We start from the raw sequence: 17,064 nt of genomic DNA, 5'->3' as shown, positions 1-17,064 counted from the left end.
TATTTTTATTTTTACTTTTTTTGAGATGAAGATTGGCTCTGTTACCCAGGCTGGAGTGCGGGTGGCATGATCTTGGCTCACTGCAACCTCAGCCTCCCAGGTTCAAGCAATTCTGCCTCAGCCTCCCAAGTAGTTGGGATTACAGGTGCGCACCACCATGCCCAGCTAATTTTTTTGTATTTTTAGTAGAGACGGGATTTCACCATGTTGGCCAGACTGGTCTCGAACTTCTGACCTCAGGTGAGCCACCATGCCTGGCCCATATTTTTTGATGAGATGGGATTTTGCCATGTTGCCCCAGCTGGTCTCCAACTCCTGTGCTCAAGCTGTCCCCCTCCTTGGCCTCCCAAAGTGCAGGGATTACAGGTGTGAGCAACCGTGCCCCGACACCCTCTGTTTTTAACTGCTGGAAACAGAATCTTGAGTCTGACTAGCTTAGCTTAGCTTAGCCTGTGAATGAATCCCTTGCGTCAGGCATTGCTGGCCGTTTGCTGTGGCTGGAGATAATTAGGCTGATTCTTGAAGACTGTGTTACTGAAATGCAAGCAGTGTTGAAGTTTGATGGGAAGCAGAGAGGGAGATGTTGAAGAAACCTGCAAAAGATGGGAATGGTCCAGTTTCTGAGAAGGCAAGAAGAGATTCAGTGCACAGGTGGCAAGATTGGGTGTAGGCAGAATGAAGGACATATCTTCCTTGATAAAAGGGAGAAAGGAAAACGGATAAAATGTTTTAAAATGAGAACAATAATTTAATTTTATGAATAGTGACTGGGTATATTTATTGGGGAGCCAAATAATAACTGTGTATTTCAGTATCACTTAATGGCTGTAAGTAATTGGGGTCAGATTTATCTCCCCGTCCAAAGGTTTATATTGGCCCTTCCCCAAGGGCAAGCTTTGGTTATATGAAAGAAGAACTTACATTTAATAGCTGATCTAATATGATTAAAAAGAGAATGTTTTCTATTTAATTCACTAATATGCTCTTTCCTCTTTTTCCGTCTAATGGCTTTGTCTTTCTCTTGTTTTTATAGGCTTTGGTGAAGCACGTGCAGTCTAAAGGATACCCAAATGAACGTTTTGAACTTCTCACCAACTTTCCTCGAAGGAAATTATCTCATCTGGACTATGATATTACATTGCAAGAGGCAGGCCTTTGTCCTCAAGAGACTGTCTTTGTACAGGAAAGAAATTAACACCATGGCTTGACCTCTCTCAGCTTACCCCTTTTTTCCCTTTTCCTGTGAGATACATGTCACTAAGTATGCATTTTGGCTCATAGGACCACAGAGCCAAAGTTGGGCAAGCAAGTCACCTTCCTTCTCTTATTTCTTGATCTCTCCTATAATCAGTCTCTTTCTCCCCCTTTGTTTCTTTCTCCTCTTCTGTTTTCTCGCTCCCCACTCCGTACCCTTCTGCCTCCCCCTCCCCCCACACTTTTCTTTCTTACCTAATCTGGTGACCAAACTGAAGTGTAAGGATAAGACCTCTCCTAGTACTAGCAGCAGGAATTGTGTGTTCCAGTAAGTGGTCTCTTGCACGGCACTTTTTTGGGATCAAATGTTAACGTTACTCCCCAGACTCTTCGGGCAAAGGAATGGCTAGATTCAGAGTAAGAACAACCCTCCCTTTTTTGTAAGTCCCCGTGTTTAGCAGGGAGAAGAAATTCTCTAACATGGGTTTGGTTTTGTTGTGTTCTTCATGTGGAAATGTCGCTTAACAAAATATCCAGGCTTTTGTTTACGTGGAAAAAGCATCCCTTGTAATGATTGCTCATCATACTTAAAAACCTTTTTCAAAGGATTTTCATGTTCCCAGCTATAAGGACTATTTCCATGACATGTGTTATTGGCAGAATGAGTGTTAAATATGGAGCATATAGCATGGGGTGACTTTCATTGTCCTAACCTGAGACAGTTTTCCTTATTACTCTGTATTGATCCTGCTAGTCCAAGAATGGACATGAAGTGAACCTATCGTGGTGACTGGGATAGGAAGGTGCTTGCTATTTTTGCCAGCACAGCATATTAGTTCCTTTGGAGCCCTCCATTGTCTGAGTCTGCAGTGATCTGTAGGAAGGCAGCTGGTCAATAATCATGTAGTACAATGGCTTGGAATTGTAACCACTATGGTTATTGATTGTCCTGTGTTGTTTCAGGCATACTTAGGTATGTCCCTGGGGAAAAAGAAAACCATTCAGCTGAGAGTTGCTAACCATGTTCTTTTGGTTAGAAATAATGGTTCATTTTTTGCCCCTGGTTGGAATAGTCTCTAAAAGGCTCTGGTGACTGAATTGAACATGAGTCCGCATGCTGTTTTCTTTCAAAAGGTATCAAAACGGAAAGCCTCTCTAAGGGGAAGACCTTTCAACTCCATTCAGAAGACAACATTTAGTAAGGAGGATGGCGGAGGTTACTAGTAATTTTCAGATGTCTTGGGCTTTTTCTGCCAACAAAACCCAAAATCAAATTAGAGTTGGTGAAAGCTTTCTTCAGTGTTTTTAGAAGAGGCCATCTTGAATCTGTAGAATACCATTTACACATCAACTTCACCCTATGCTCATTTCGTATTTTGAGCTTAAATGGAGTCCTCTGAAGGGGGGGTAGTCGTGATTCTGGTGGCAAAACTAGAACTTTTAACTTGTAAAATGAAAAATATTAAATGGACCTTTTTGTCAGTTGAGGATTTAGATTGATTCTTTTATCTGAGGAGCGTATGTTCCTCAGATGTTGCGTAGAGACCTTTAGGTTTTCATCTACTTTAAGATTGCTCTCTTGGCAATTAGGGGATTTGGGAAAAGAAGAAAAAAAGATGCCATGTGTTGCTAGTACACAGTTATAGGATATGGTTTCTAATGGTTGAATTTTGAGGAACTCTCCCTAAAGAATGAGTTTTATATCTCCTCAAGGAAATCATGGAAAAATCTGTTTATTCTTCAGTGAGTCCTTTTGAATTAATGTTCTTAAATTTTTTTCTAAGTCTGTGTAAGTGCTTATGTATAAGTATATAATTGTATAAATATTTATAAATATATTTATATAATTACGGTTTCATTTCTACCTTGAGTCAAAGTTCTGTCTTTAGATTGGTGACTGAGTAATACTTACACTTTGGTGTTTTTTCTTAGGTTCTTGAGGCTTACTTAACTAGCAGCTTCTGATTTATTGAGTGAAAGATGGTTTTCATGTTAATTCCTCAGTTGCATCTCTGAACTTGGATAACATACTTGCCGTTTGAAAAATAGAGCTGTATACTGTCAAAGGTGCACTGGAGGGTAAAACATTTGTTGGTAGTAGACAAGCTCAGAAATCCAAAAATTCAGGGAGGGCACAGGGTAAGAAGAGAGGTTTGCTCAGCTTTGTGCTCTGATGGCACCCATCTGTACTCCAGCAAAGTCATAGCTGAAGCCCAAATCGCTCAAACGTGTGAAGTCAATCATTTTTCCTATAGGGCTCTGTTTCCTTTTCTTTACCTTCTAGCTTCTCTTGATAAAACAGTTGGGAGAACTGCCAACGTGTTCATCAGTGAGAGGGTGTGGTTCTTTCCGATATGTTCAGCACGTGCATATTCATTTATGAGAAACCAAAGTAACTTCTTCAACTCGGGTTACTGTGGGATGATTAAGTAGATATAAAGTGATTTAAAAGACAGCATGGTACTTTCACTCAGCTTAACATGCAGCTGGGATGTCTACAATACAAGATGTGGTGGGTTTTATTTTATTTTATTTTGAGGCAGGAGTGTAATTATCTTAGGGTTGATATAAAGGCCCATGGGAAGAGTTACGGATTGTACATGGGAAGAATCCATAAGGAGTATTGCCTTGCTCAAGAATTTAATCCGCTGACAGTATGCTTCTTCCAGTTTGCCTTACTTCCTCTGCAAGTTTCTTTGCTCCTTAGGGCAGAGGTTTTATTGAATAGATTAAATGAGGTCAGTAAGATTAGTTAAAAATAGTCATTCCTTGTGGGTGTTGGACACAGCTTGAAAGGAGTGTTTAAAAAAAAAAAGCTAGGGAGGAAAAGAACAAGAAAGATAGACTTCGAGAGTGATAAGAGAAAAATACAGGGAGATGGAATGGAAACTACCAGGAAGGCCGGGCGCGGTGGCTCATGCCTGTAATCCCAACACTTTGGGAGGCGGAGGTGGGCAGATCACCTAAGGTCAGGAGATCGAGGCCAGCCTGAGCAACATGGTGAAACCCCGTCTCTACTAAAAATACAAAAATTACCTGGGTGTGGTGGCGTGCACCTGTAATCCCAGCTACTCAGAGGCTGAGGCAGGGGAATGGCTTGAACCTGGGAGGCAGAGGTTGCAGTGAGCCAAGATCGCACCATTACACTCCAGCCTGGGCGACAAAGCGACACTCCATCTCAAATTTAAAAAAAAAAAAGAAGAAGAAGAAGAAAACTAGTGGGAAAAAAGTGAGAGGAATACTTTTTTGAAATTGGTATCGGAAGGAACTGGAGAAGAGAAAACAACAGTGCCAAATGAGAAAAGAACAGGAAACTTAATACTAATTGGCATGCACCAGATACTTTTGTGTACATTTGCCTCTTCAATCTCCCGAAGAATCGTACAAAATGTATACTTTCTTCCCATGTTAAGAAAACAGGTATAGAGAACTTATTCAGGACTCATAGCTAGTGAGTGGCAAATCAGAATTGGAATCCAGAGTCCATGCTGTGGTCTCCTTCAGCAAGAGAATCAAGCTACCCAGATGATTCTCTTCTCATTGTTTGGCTTTGTAAAGTGTCACTTAGTTTTGTTCCCATAAATATAGAGGAAGTAGTTGGGTTAAAGTTGTGGGATTTGCACTATGCCTATACATTTTTATTTATGCCATTATTTTGAGAGGCTGATTATTGCTTTTTTAAAATGATGCACTGGTGAAGATGTGAAAGTAAAATTGCCACGTGGCATTATTTGCCAAGAATAAATGAAAAGGGTAAAAAAACAATTTTTTCTTTTTTTAAACATTTTTCAGAAAAGATACAATTACCTTTTTTAATAGGTGAGCGCCACCACGCCCGGCTAATTTTTGCATTTTTAGTAGAGACAGGGTTTCACCATGTTGGCCAGGATGGTCTCGATCTCTTGATCTCGTGTTCCGCCCACCTCGGCCTCCTAAAGTGCTGGGATTACAGGCATGAGCCACTGCGCCCGATCTACAATTCTGTTTTCTGTGTCCCATCCATACCAGATTATTGAACCCTCTGTGTGTATGTTTTTAAATCTTGTATATAATTCTACTTCCTTGACTTACAAGTCAACAATTAGCTATTGAGTTCTTTATAGAAGTTGGAAGTATTTTGAAATCTGAGATCTAATTCCTGGCCAGGTGTGGTGGCTCATGCCTGTAATCCCAATATTTTGGGAGGCCGAGGTGGGTGGATCACCTGAGGTTGGGAGTTCGAGATCAGCCTGGCCAACATGGTGAAACCCCATCTCTACTGAAAAATACAAAAATTAGCCAGGCATGGTGGCTGTCTGTAATCCCAGCTAATGGGGAGGCTGAGGCACAAGAATCTCTTGAACCTGGGAGGCGGAGGTTGCAGTGAGCCGAGATCACACCACTGCACTCCATCCTGGGCAATGGAGCGAGACTCTGTCTCAAAAAATAATAAATAAGATATGATTCCTGCCTGTTTTATCCAGTTAGAGAGACACACTACACATGAAATAATTGGAGAGCATGTAAATGTTTACCTATTAGTTCAAACTTAGAAAAAGGGAAGAATATGTTTTAGTTAGCAAAGTCTTAAACAAGACTGAAGTGGCAAGCACTGTAGCTCACGTTTTCTTTTGACTCACCTTTTTCTTTAGCTCCACCTTTTGTAACTTCTAGATTTGGGGCATGAAGTTCTGCCACTAAGGCATAACCAGTACCCAAGTAGGAAAGGATTATTGATCCCTGGAGTAAAGATTCCTAGCTTGCGGGGATCTCACTATTGATCCCCCGGAGTAAAGATTCCTAGCTCGCAGGAATCTTACTTGCACACTTAGGGAAAATACCAGAGGGAGCCACTAGCAACCGAAAAATGAAGGAAAGATTTAATTTCTCTACCCAGGTACAAATCCAATGCATAGTATAGTATATGTTATATGCAGAAAGGGCACTGGAGGTGTGAGAGCCCTTTGGGTAACAGCTCTGCTAGTTGTTACCTTCACACTTCTCTTTCTTCTTAATCTCTGGTTTCTCGTCTGAAAAATGAGATAATTGGACTAGATTAATAGTTCTCAGCCTTTTCTAGAACAACAAATTAGATTATCTCTGAAGTCCTTTTCCAAAATTTCATGCTTCCAGTCTCTCCCCGTGATTGCGTATTATCCCTAGGCTAATTAAAAGTGTGCTGGTTAATCAGTTTCTTTACTTTTTTTTTCTCTCTTTTTTTTATTCTGTGTTCAGGTATCATTTGACCAACAACTTGCTCTTAATCTTACTGCGATGACTGAAATCTCCAAAGAGGAGAGTATAGTAGTTATAGGTCTAGTAATAATAATCTTGTAAACAATTCATTATTTTTTAAAACTTAATGCTGTGTGCCTAATCAGTGTTGAGTATGACTAAAATGTAAATGAGAACCAAATATGACACTAACGCTGGCACTAAATTTTATTTTTACTTGTGTACTTAAAGTACTTTACTGGCCTGTTGGGAAATTGATTTGTATAAGATTCACACCTGGTTTTGGCAGAAACAGCTTTTTAAAGATACAATTAGGCTGACTTAAAAATGTTTTTTATTCCACAGAATGTATCTTTATTATGTCATTCTTACCGTCTCTCTGCCTTTTTTGACCATCATGTAACTACGCAGTAGTAAATCATGGGGTGCAGGCTGATGAATTAGTAGTCTTTGTAAAACTAAAATGTAATGAGCATAGGAAGAGACAGCTCTTCTGGTGAACATGGCAGTTTTCCGGTAATACCAGCCTTGATGAATAGGCTAAAGACAGCTGTGTACTATGGACATTCAACTTCACTGGATTGCCTGGCTTAGCTTTTCAGTTATTGTCTTGCCGTGAAACATGGTGTTGCACTGTACACATTTTAGAATAGTGGCAAGAATGTTCTTTAGAACTGCAGATAACCCAACAGAGAATACCATACCAATATATCGGTTTCTCCTGTTACATAGAGATTTGGTATTTCAGTGATGGTTATGGTTTTTGACTCACCTGTGTGTCAGTCCTGCTAGAGAGACAGTATAGAATCAAGAATTTCTTGATGTCTTTTTAAAAATAGAGATTATAATGGCCTTGCTAGTTGTCCTGTGAAGTGACAGACCCTTAATTAGAAATCTTTTAATCCTGCTTTCCATTTTACTTCTCCACCATTTATTTTTAACATTCATTCTCTGAAAATAGTTATGATTTTTAGTGTAATTGGCTATGTTTAAGAAATTCCATTTCAAAGTCTTAATATGTAACAATCTTCATTTTTTATAAAATTGAAGGACATTTTTGAGGCAAACTTACTTTTATAGCTCATTTTCTCCCTAGTTAAGGAGAATTCTCTGGTTTCATATAGAGAATGGCTAGCTCTGTGATACCCCACCCTCTTTGTGGCCTACCAGTTGCTGTTGTGTTGCTTAAAATTGCAGATATTCTCATAAACATGATGATTTTTGGCACAGGCCTTTCTTTGCTATTGATTTCAAAATAAAGTTGGGCAATCCAATTTGAACTACTTTAATAAACATAATTTAGCATTCCTGTAATGAGAAAGTATTTTCAAAAGATAACCAGATTTATTTCTAGGATTAGAGATGGCAAATACCAATGATAGTATTTTTCCCAAGAGCAATCACAGATTAATCTATAAATATGAGAAGTCGCATTATTGTACTTAATTCTTTGGCAACAAACAGCAAGTTTTTATTGTTTAATTGTATTTCCTCTCTAGAGATCACAATACTCTGGGTATTTTATATCCCTTCTAAAGGTCATTTGGGTTTTCAAATGGGAAGAATAGTCAAGCTAAGCTGGACTAAACCTAAGTAATATTTTTTCTCATCAAAAGAAGTTATTAATCTAACTGGGTTAGCATGAGTCATTCATTTTTTAGACATGATAAATGGGAAACATATCAAATCATTAGATAAATTCTGACCTGGAATTGAATTCCCCCTTTCTTAAAATCTTTTTAATTTGCTTTTTTCATAGACTCAGTATGGAACTCTTAACTGATAAGGGAGAGATTCTTGATCTGGAACCGTTCCCTGCCATTCTCCTTTTTTCTCTCTATCTAGGTAGCTGGTTCCATAGTGCCCGTCACGAGGGTCCATTTCAGTTTGATGACATTAGACTGCTTACACTCAGCTGGATGCCTTGCTGTTTGCAGCAACATGATTTTACAGTATGCTTTTCTCAAAGCTTTGCATTCTTAATGGAGATATCAAATGGTGTAATTCCAAATATAAATATGTTTATGACACTAATCATATGCTTTTAACAATAACTTTTTGATAACTTATTGCCCTGTAAGTTAAACCTTACACGGAGTGACTGTTGCCATCAGAAAATCCCCTTTCACCTGCTAGAGAGAGTGAAAGTAGTGCGTGGCCTCCACTTTTCAGTTAACGAGTAGCAAGCTTCTAGTAGGGGCTGCTTATCTGACCCATGTGGGGTCTTGGGCCTTGTTACTTTCCTGGGTTCGTCCCTTCAGCTGGAAAGGCTGTTGAAAACACTTGCCAGGAAACAGTAAAGCTGTGAGAGAATCTTCTAGTCTTAGATATAGAGAAATGAGTACCAGTTGATGCTAACACGATACTTAGACTTTGAGGGGCTTCCATCCAAGCTTTGGCATGAATCTGTTAGACACGGTTTTCTTCACTCCTCTGATAATCTTTTTTTCCAGAATGGTTTTTTGTTGTTGTTGTTGTTAACAAATTCTAAACATCCAGTGTTACTTTTTGTTTTGTTTGTTTTGTTTTGTTTTGTTTTGTTTTGTTTGCCCTTCAGGAAAGTCCTTTTTCGAGTAGGTATTGATTGTTCCCTGGAAACTCTCAGCAGTGTCTGTGCAGGCTCTGTGCATGCTTTGTATGAGTTCGGCTTGAACAATGCATTTGAAGTCACCTGGGATGTCCAGTTCTGGCATGTCTTCATTGATTGTGTTTTTAAACATGTTTCATGTTTCATGTCATTTTCCAAACCTCACTTTACATCTTACTCAGAGAAGTTAATCAAGGAATGAAATTTCTAGGGGGATAGGGATGATGAGGGTGGGTTGGGGGCTTGAGTGAAGTCAACTTGGGGTATTTGCTTTAAAGTGTTTTCTAAAGCAGTTCCTAACAGTATTTAGAGATTCCCTGGGATGTTTGTGGCTCAACTTATTCTGGACAAAGTGTGTGTGGGGGTGGTCTTACTGAGATTTGCATTCTTAATGCAGGACAGGCTCTAAATTTCATCTGTACTCTAAATTTGTGATTGAATCCAAGAAGATAACAGAGACAGTGCTCCTGTTGTAATGTTTCTGGCAAGTGCTCCCTAAAATGCACATCGAATTCTGTTTTCTGGGCCTTTTCTCCAATGGTGCTAGGAGATACCGTTGATTTCTGCAGCTCTTCTCAGTGGTGGGAAGAAGTCTTTGGGATTGTTGAGCAAGGGGCAGCTGGACCATCCACTAAATTTTTTTGTTCAAGACACATTAGAGACCCTCCTGTATATCTAGTAAGTCATAATAAAGGTGCTTGGGAAAGCCTTAAATTTGAAGACACATGGAGGCGGTAGAAAATTAAACTTGTAAGAGGAGAAAAACATGCCATTAGGTAACGCAGAGTTGTAACTACTGGCTAAGACTCAATGGAACTTCCACTTGCTCTAAAACCAGGGAAATCTTAGATAACTGGGTGTGATCTACCTATAGATCTACCTAGTCTATAGGTAATAATTTCCAGAAGGAGGATCTTGCTGTCAGTTGGGGATCCTCTGGTTTGGTCTGTACCAAATTGTGAATACTCTTGCTGTGTTGTACCCAGTTGCTTTATATTAATACTGCAACTTGAAACGGGGAGGGTGGGGGGACAATGGGGTGGGGGAGGGAAGGGAGTGGGACGATAAGTCTTTTGAAGACATCAGCTCACTGTGCTGAGAGAGGGACCAAACTCAAGGAAACCTCTGATCTATACATTCAACTGCTGCATTTTTTTATAAATACATGTAAATGTCCTGTTGTAATATTTGATCTTGGAAATAAAAACAAAAACTTTTCAGTATTAGTTTTTTTTGTGTTGTTGTTTTTACAAGATAAGACTCTGGATATTACTTTCAGTAATACAATTGAGATTCCAAAAGCTTGCCCCCTCACGTTCTCATTTAGGTCAGTTACTATTGATTGACAAAGGTTACTTTGTAGTCCCGTTGTTATGTGTAACGTTTGCTAGCCTTTTTTCTGCTCTTTGTGGTATGTCAAACATTCATGGTAAACACTCTGTAAATATTAGTCCAGTTGTTACAGAAACATTGGGTAAGCTAGGCTTGTTAGGTAAGTATGATTCTGTGTTTGACATACTTGGGCGAATATTCAGTGTCTGTTCTTTCAGACCAGCAGTAATTACTAATGGTTAATTAAGGACTTAGCTTAATTGAAGGAAAGATAATTACTAAATTAATGGGCAAAAAGGAGATACGATTATATGGTATGACAGAAATTGTTATTGCTGCTGGATGCAGTGGCTCATGCATGTAATCCCAGCCCTTTGGGAGGCTGAGATGGGCGGATCACCTGAGGTCAGGAGTTCGAGACCAGCCTGGCCAACATGGTGAAACCCCGTCTCTACTAAAAATACAAACATTAGCTGGGTGTGGTGGCGGCCGCCTGTAATCCCAGCTACTTGGGAGGCTGAGACAGGAGAATCGCTTGAACCCAGGAGGCAGAGGTTGCAGTGAGCCGAGATCGTGCCACTGCACTGCAGCCTGGGCGACAAGAGTGAAACTCTGTCTCAAAAAAAAAAAAAAGAAAAAAGCCGGGCGTGGTGGCAGTGCCTATAATCCCATCTACTCGGGAGGCTGAGGCAGGAGACTTGCTTGAACCTGGGAAGTGGAGGGTGCAGTGAGCCGAGATAGCATCCAGCCTGGGTGACAGAGTGACTCCATCTCAAAAAAAAAAAAAAAAAAAAAAAAAAAGGGACTGCTGCTTAGCTCACAGTTCTACAGTGATGGGTTTGTGCCCCCCCTTTTCTTGTGGAACCATTTCTCATCCCCATGCTCCAGCCTCATGTGCCAAATAATAGGGATGTATGTGATGGGGAGCAAAACAGATACAGCCTCTGCCCTCAAGGAACTTACTTTCTAGTTGGAAACAGACGATAAACATACATGGAAAAACAGATCTGATTCTAATAGAATGAAAAAAAAAAAATAGAAAAGGAGCCAGTAGAGAATTCTTTATTTTTTTAATTTTGAGACAGAGTCTCGCTCTGTTGCCCAGGCTGGAGTGCAGTGATTTGATCACAGCTCACTGGAAGCTCCGCCTCCCAGGTTCAAGCAATTCTCCTGCCTCAGCCTCCCGAGTAGCTGGGACTACAGGTGCCCGCCACCACGCCCGGCTAATTTTTGTGTTTTTAGTAGAGACGGGGTTTCACCATGTTGGCCAGGCTGGTCTCGAATTCCTGACCTCAAGTGATTCACCTGCCTCGGCCTCCCACAGTGCTGGGATCACAGATGTGAGCCACTGCGCCCTGCCTGGTGTTTCTTCTCACTGCCTGCACCTCCTTGATTGGGTCTTTATGGTGGTGATCCCCAGGACCTGGCCCTCTAACTCTCCCTCTGTGATCTCATTCTGATAGTACCAACCGCCATGTATAATGCCAATGATTTCTCACATCTCCAACTCCAGCCCGTCTCTCCTCCAAGCTTCAGACTCACATGTCCGACTTTTTACACTGCGCCTATAGTTGGAAGTATCACACTTACATCTAAGATGACGCCTCCCCACCCAGACCTGCAGTGACACCACTACCTATGAACCTGCCAGAAACTTAAGTCATTTTCTTTTGCTTATTCCCCCATCTCTAATCCAACAGCAAGTCCTTTAACTTCTGCCTCCAAAATGCATAAAAGGTAACCCTACTTTTCAGTCTATTGCCATTACTCTGGTCCAAGTGACCTGCTTTTTATCGTGACCACTGCAGTAGTCTCTGCTCTTACTCTCTTCCGACCCATTCTCCGCATACTGGCTTCTCCTTCCACTCAGAATGCCCAAGCTCCTTGCTTCATGCCACCCCCTTTGCCCCCTGCCTGCCAGCTGACTGGCCTTCTCTCAAACCCCAACATCAAACACCTTCCTGCTCCACAGCCGAGGCATGTCTTCTGCTTGAGTTCTCCTCGTCTTAGCACGGATCACTTTCTTTTATCCTTTAGGTCTCAGCCTAAAAGTAAACTCCACAACGTTCTATTTAAAGGAGAAATCTCAGCCGGGCGCAGTGGCTCACGCCTGTAATCCCAGCACCTTGGGAGGCCAAGGTGGGCAGATCACTTGAGCTCAGGAGTTCTAGACCAGCCCGGCCAATATGGTGAAACCCCGCCTCTACTAAAAACACAAAAATTAGCCGGGTGTGGTGGCACGGTTGCTTGTAATTCCAGGTACTCGGGAGGCTGAGGCAGGAGAATTGCTTGAACCCGGGAGGTGGAGGTTGCAGTGAGCCAAGATGGTGACACTGGACTCCAGACTCCAGCCTGAGGGACAAGAGCAAAACTCTGTCTCAAAAAAAAGAAACAAAAAAACACCAGAGTGGGGTGTCAAGGGAGCCAAGAGTAAGAATGTTCAAGAAGGATCCTGTGGCTAACTATGTCTAGAGTCAAGTAAAGAGGACAGTGTAGCGTTCATCAGAGACACGAAATCACTGGAGACCAAGAACAGTTTCAGTGCAATGTTGGAGGCAGAAATCTACTTTGGGTGGGTGGAAGTTTACGATTTTTATATACTAATGAGAAAACCCTAACTTCCTCTTCAGTGGTCTGGTATAAAAGGCAGCTCTTTCAATATCTTCCCTTTTTTTCTCCCTCCAATTAAGGGAATGTGCTCTCTTGTCAGCTTTCAGTTGAGTTTAGAGCCCACCCACAGGAGGCTGATTAGTCCTGTCGCTCTCATCTGGGGAACACTAGAAAACAGCTGGCCTGGTTGTCTGGCTGTATCATCTTCTCTTCTGCCAGTGAATTCTATTTCATCAACTTCCTCTATTTCTTGCTCAAATACCACCTCCAGATCCCCAAATATACCCCAGAATGGAACATCTGTCTAGCCTGTTCTCCTAAGTCTTTATTTTTTGTTTTTTTTATTTGAGACGGAGTCTCACTCTTTCTCCCAGGCTGGAGTGCAGTGGTGTGATCTCGGCTCACTGCAACCTCCGCCTCCCGGGTTCATCACGCCATTCTCCGGCCTGAGCCTCCCGAGTAGCTGGGACTACAGGCACGTGCCACCACGCCCGGCTAATTTTTTGTATTTTTAGTAGAGATGGGGTTTCACCGTGTTAGCCAGGATGGTCTCGATCTCCTGACCTCGTGATCCACCTGCCTCCGCCTCCAAAGTGCTGGGATTACAGGCGTGAGCCACCGCGCCAGGACTTTTTTTGTTTGTTTTTGTTTTTTGTTTTAAACAGAGTCTCACTCTGTTGCCGAGACTGGAGTGCAGTGGCGCGATCTCGGCTCACCGCAACCTCCGCCTCTCGTACTCAAGCAGTCCTCCCACCTCAGCCTCCCCAGTAGCTGGGACTACGGTTGTGCACACCACGCCCAGCTAATTTTTGTATCTTTAGTAAAGACGGTTTCACCATGTTGGTCATGCTGGTCTCAAATTCCTGGCCTTGAAACCGCCTTTGCAAAATGATGACTGAGACAGTGAAAGAGATCCAACCTAACCGACTCCATCTTGCGTCTAACCTCCAAGCTGCCCTTGTTCATTCCTGGGCGTAGGCTGAACTAACTTGGGGGGAAACTTAATTTATAGTTTAAAACAAAGACGGTAACAGCCCTTTCCCAAAGCAGACCTCCTTCTTGCCGGGGGACTAGACTAACATTAGTCACAAGATTAGAAATGATGGTTTAGGAGCCATGCAGCTGGAGGCTACAAGATTCTGACCCTCCCTACACTGCTCCTAAGATCAGCGCTTGAGATACTTTGCAGACCCTGCACTTGATGGATCAGCTGGCACCACCCAGGTGGATAAACTGGCTCATCTGATCTTGTGGCCCCGACCCAGGAACTGACTCAGCGCAAGAAGACAGCTGACTCCCTGTGATTCCATCCCTGATCAATCAGCACTCCCGGCTCACTGGCTCTCCACACCCACCAAGCTGTCCTTAAAAACTCTGCTCCCCGAATGCTGGGAGAGACTGATTTGAGTAATAATAAAACTGCGGTCTCCCGCACAGCCGGCTGTGCGTGAATTACTCTTTCTCTATGGCAATTCCCCTGTCATGACGAATCGGCTCTGTCTAGACAGCGGGCAAGTGAACCCCTTGGGCGGTTACAGCCTCAAGTGATCCACCGGCCTCTGCCTCCCGAAGTGCTGGGATTACAGGTGTGGGTCACTGGCACCTGGCCGTCTCCCAAATCTTTCAGCCTCAGGAAGCCTTTTGTGGCATGACTGGTTTTCTCAGCCCAGGCCCTGTTCGTCATTTATGTCCTCAGACTCCCATTTGCTCCTCCCTAGGAGCATCACCGACAAAGTAACAGCAAGTAGCTCCATCTCCAGTAGAGCCACACTCCGCGGTTATTAACACGTCTCAAAGAGGTGAAGCTTCAGTGCTTTCATGGCAGCGACCGTGCCTCTGTTGCCCTAGGAGGCTCGCCACATGGAAATGAAGAGATAGTCCCAACGCTAGCCTTACGAGACCCGTTTATCTCAAGTACATGATTTCTTAAAGAAGTGTCTTGTTCAGCCGGGCGCGGCGGCTCACGCCTGTAATCCCAGCACTTTGGGAGGCCGAGGCGGGCGGATCACGAGGTCAGGAGATCGAGAACATCCTGGCCAACACGGTGAAACCCCGTCTTTACTAAAAATACAAAAATTAGCCGGTTGTGGTGGCGGGCGCTGTAGTCCCAGCTACTCGGGAGGCTGAGGCAGGAGAATGGCGTGAACCCGGGAGGTGGAGCTTGCAGTGAGCCGAGATCGCGCCACTGCACTCCAGCCTGGGCGACAGAGCGAGACTCCGTCTCAAAAAAAAAAAAAAAAGAAAGAAGTGTCTTGTCCATAAGATAATCATTGAATTAATCATCACAAGTTTACCCGAAGGAGCAAAAACCCACAGCTGCCATCACCAGCCCCACACTAAGTTTGACACTTTAAGGGATTAAAAACAAATTCCAGCACTTTCCTTTGTCCCACAAGCAACATTTTAATGATATCTACATAAGCCATTGGGTTGGACATGGAGATATCATCTAAAAATCTGAGTGCTAGGCCAGGCGTGGTGGCTCACGCCTGTAATCCTAGCACTTTGGGAGGCCGAGGAAGGCGGAACACAAGGTCAGGAGTTCGAGAGCAGCCTGGCCAACATAGTGAAACCCTGTCTCTACTAAAAATTAGAAAATTAAAAAATTAAATTAGCTGGGTGTGGCAGTGTGAGCCTGTAATCCCAGCTACTGGGGAGGCTGAGGCAGGAGAATCGAGTGAATCCAGGAGGCAGAGGTTTCAGTGAGCCAAGACTGTGCCATTGCACTCCAGCCCGGGTGACAGTACGAGACCCCATATCGAGAGAAAAAAAAAATCTGAGTGATATACGGCAATCAGCCATTCAGTTATTCTGATTGCCTAAATATGAGATGTTCTAACAGACACTGCATGCGAAATCTCTTTTGCTGGCCAGGTGCAGTGGATCACGCCTGTAATCCCAGCACTTTGGTAGGCCAAGGCGGGTGGATCACTTGAGGTCAGGAGTTCGAGACCAGCCTGGCCAACATGGCAAAACCCCGTCTCTACTAAAAATACAAAAATTAGCCAGGCATGGTGGTGGGCACCTGTAATCCCAGCTACTCAGGAGGCTGAGGCAGGAGAATCGCTTAGAACCTGGGGGTGGAGGTTGCAGTGAGCCAAGATTGCGCCACTGCACTCCAGCCTGGGCAATAGAGCAAGATTCCGTCTCAAAAAAAAAAAAAAAAAAAAAAAAACAGAAATTCTTATATAGAAAGCAGCTCATAAACAGTTTAGAAGACTTAAACTGTGCTTGCTTTGACAACACATATACTAAAATTGGGACGATGCAGATTAGTTTAACGTGGTTCCCGTGCAAGGATGACACGAAAATTAATGAAGAGTTCCAATTTTATTTTTAAAAATGGAACTGTGATAGCCAGTCATAACGATCCCTTCTCATGTATGTGCATCAGGGGTTTCCTCAGTAATCGTTTGTTTTCATCACTGGAAGTAAAATCTCTGTGCAGAGACTGTGTTGCATGAATTATGCATTGCACGAATTAATTCATTCATCAAGTCATTCTTGAGCTTCTACCATGTTCCAAGCTCTGTGTGAGGCTCAGAATATACAGAGCAGAGTAAGAGTTAGTCCCTGCCTGCAAGGACCTCACAGCGGTGGAGTAAGAAGTGAGTCACACTCCAGTGGGAAGTGGGCAAAGATTTCCTAAGCAGACACAAAAATATTGACCATAAAAGAAGATGCATAAATGGAGCTTAATTAAAATCAGTACTTTCTCTTCAAGTAAGCCCAGGCGGGGTGGCTCACGCCTGTAATCCCAGCACTTTGGGAAGCCGAGGAGGGTGGATCACGAGGTCAGGAAATTGAGACCATCCTGGCCAACATGGTGAAACCCTGTCTCTACTAAAAATACGAAAATTAGCTGAGCGTGGCAGCCCATGCCTGTAATCCCAGCTATTCGGCAGGCTAAGGCAGGAGAATCTCTTGAACCCGGGAGATGGCGGTTGCAGTGAGCCAAGATCGTCGTGGCACTGCACTCTAGCCTGGCAACAGAGCTAGACTCTGTCTCAAAAAATAAAATAAAATAAAATAAAATAAAATAAAATAAAATAAAATAAAATAAAATAAAATAAAATAAAATAAAATAAGACATAATAAAGAGAGTAAAAAGTCAAACCACAAACTGG

The 17,064-nt window shown here is 42.7% G+C and overlaps 1 protein-coding gene and 1 pseudogene across 2 annotated transcripts in view; both read left to right on the top strand.

Annotated features, from left to right (window-relative positions):
• Positions 1–10,218, top strand: part of UBXN7 (UBX domain protein 7) — an 84,766-nt gene extending 74,548 nt beyond the window's left edge. For both annotated transcript variants that reach the window (XM_011512671.3, NM_015562.2), the window contains one exon: positions 1,034–10,218. In XM_011512671.3, coding sequence (XP_011510973.1) covers positions 1,034–1,195 — 162 coding nt within the window. In that variant the 3' untranslated portion in view covers positions 1,196–10,218. The remainder of the gene's footprint in view (positions 1–1,033) is intronic.
• Positions 16,165–16,271, top strand: RNU6-910P (RNA, U6 small nuclear 910, pseudogene; annotated as a pseudogene).

This window comes from Homo sapiens, chromosome 3, assembly GCF_000001405.40.
Source record: "Homo sapiens chromosome 3, GRCh38.p14 Primary Assembly".
NCBI lineage: Eukaryota > Metazoa > Chordata > Mammalia > Primates > Hominidae > Homo > Homo sapiens.
This window is presented reverse-complemented; position numbering and strand designations above follow the sequence as displayed.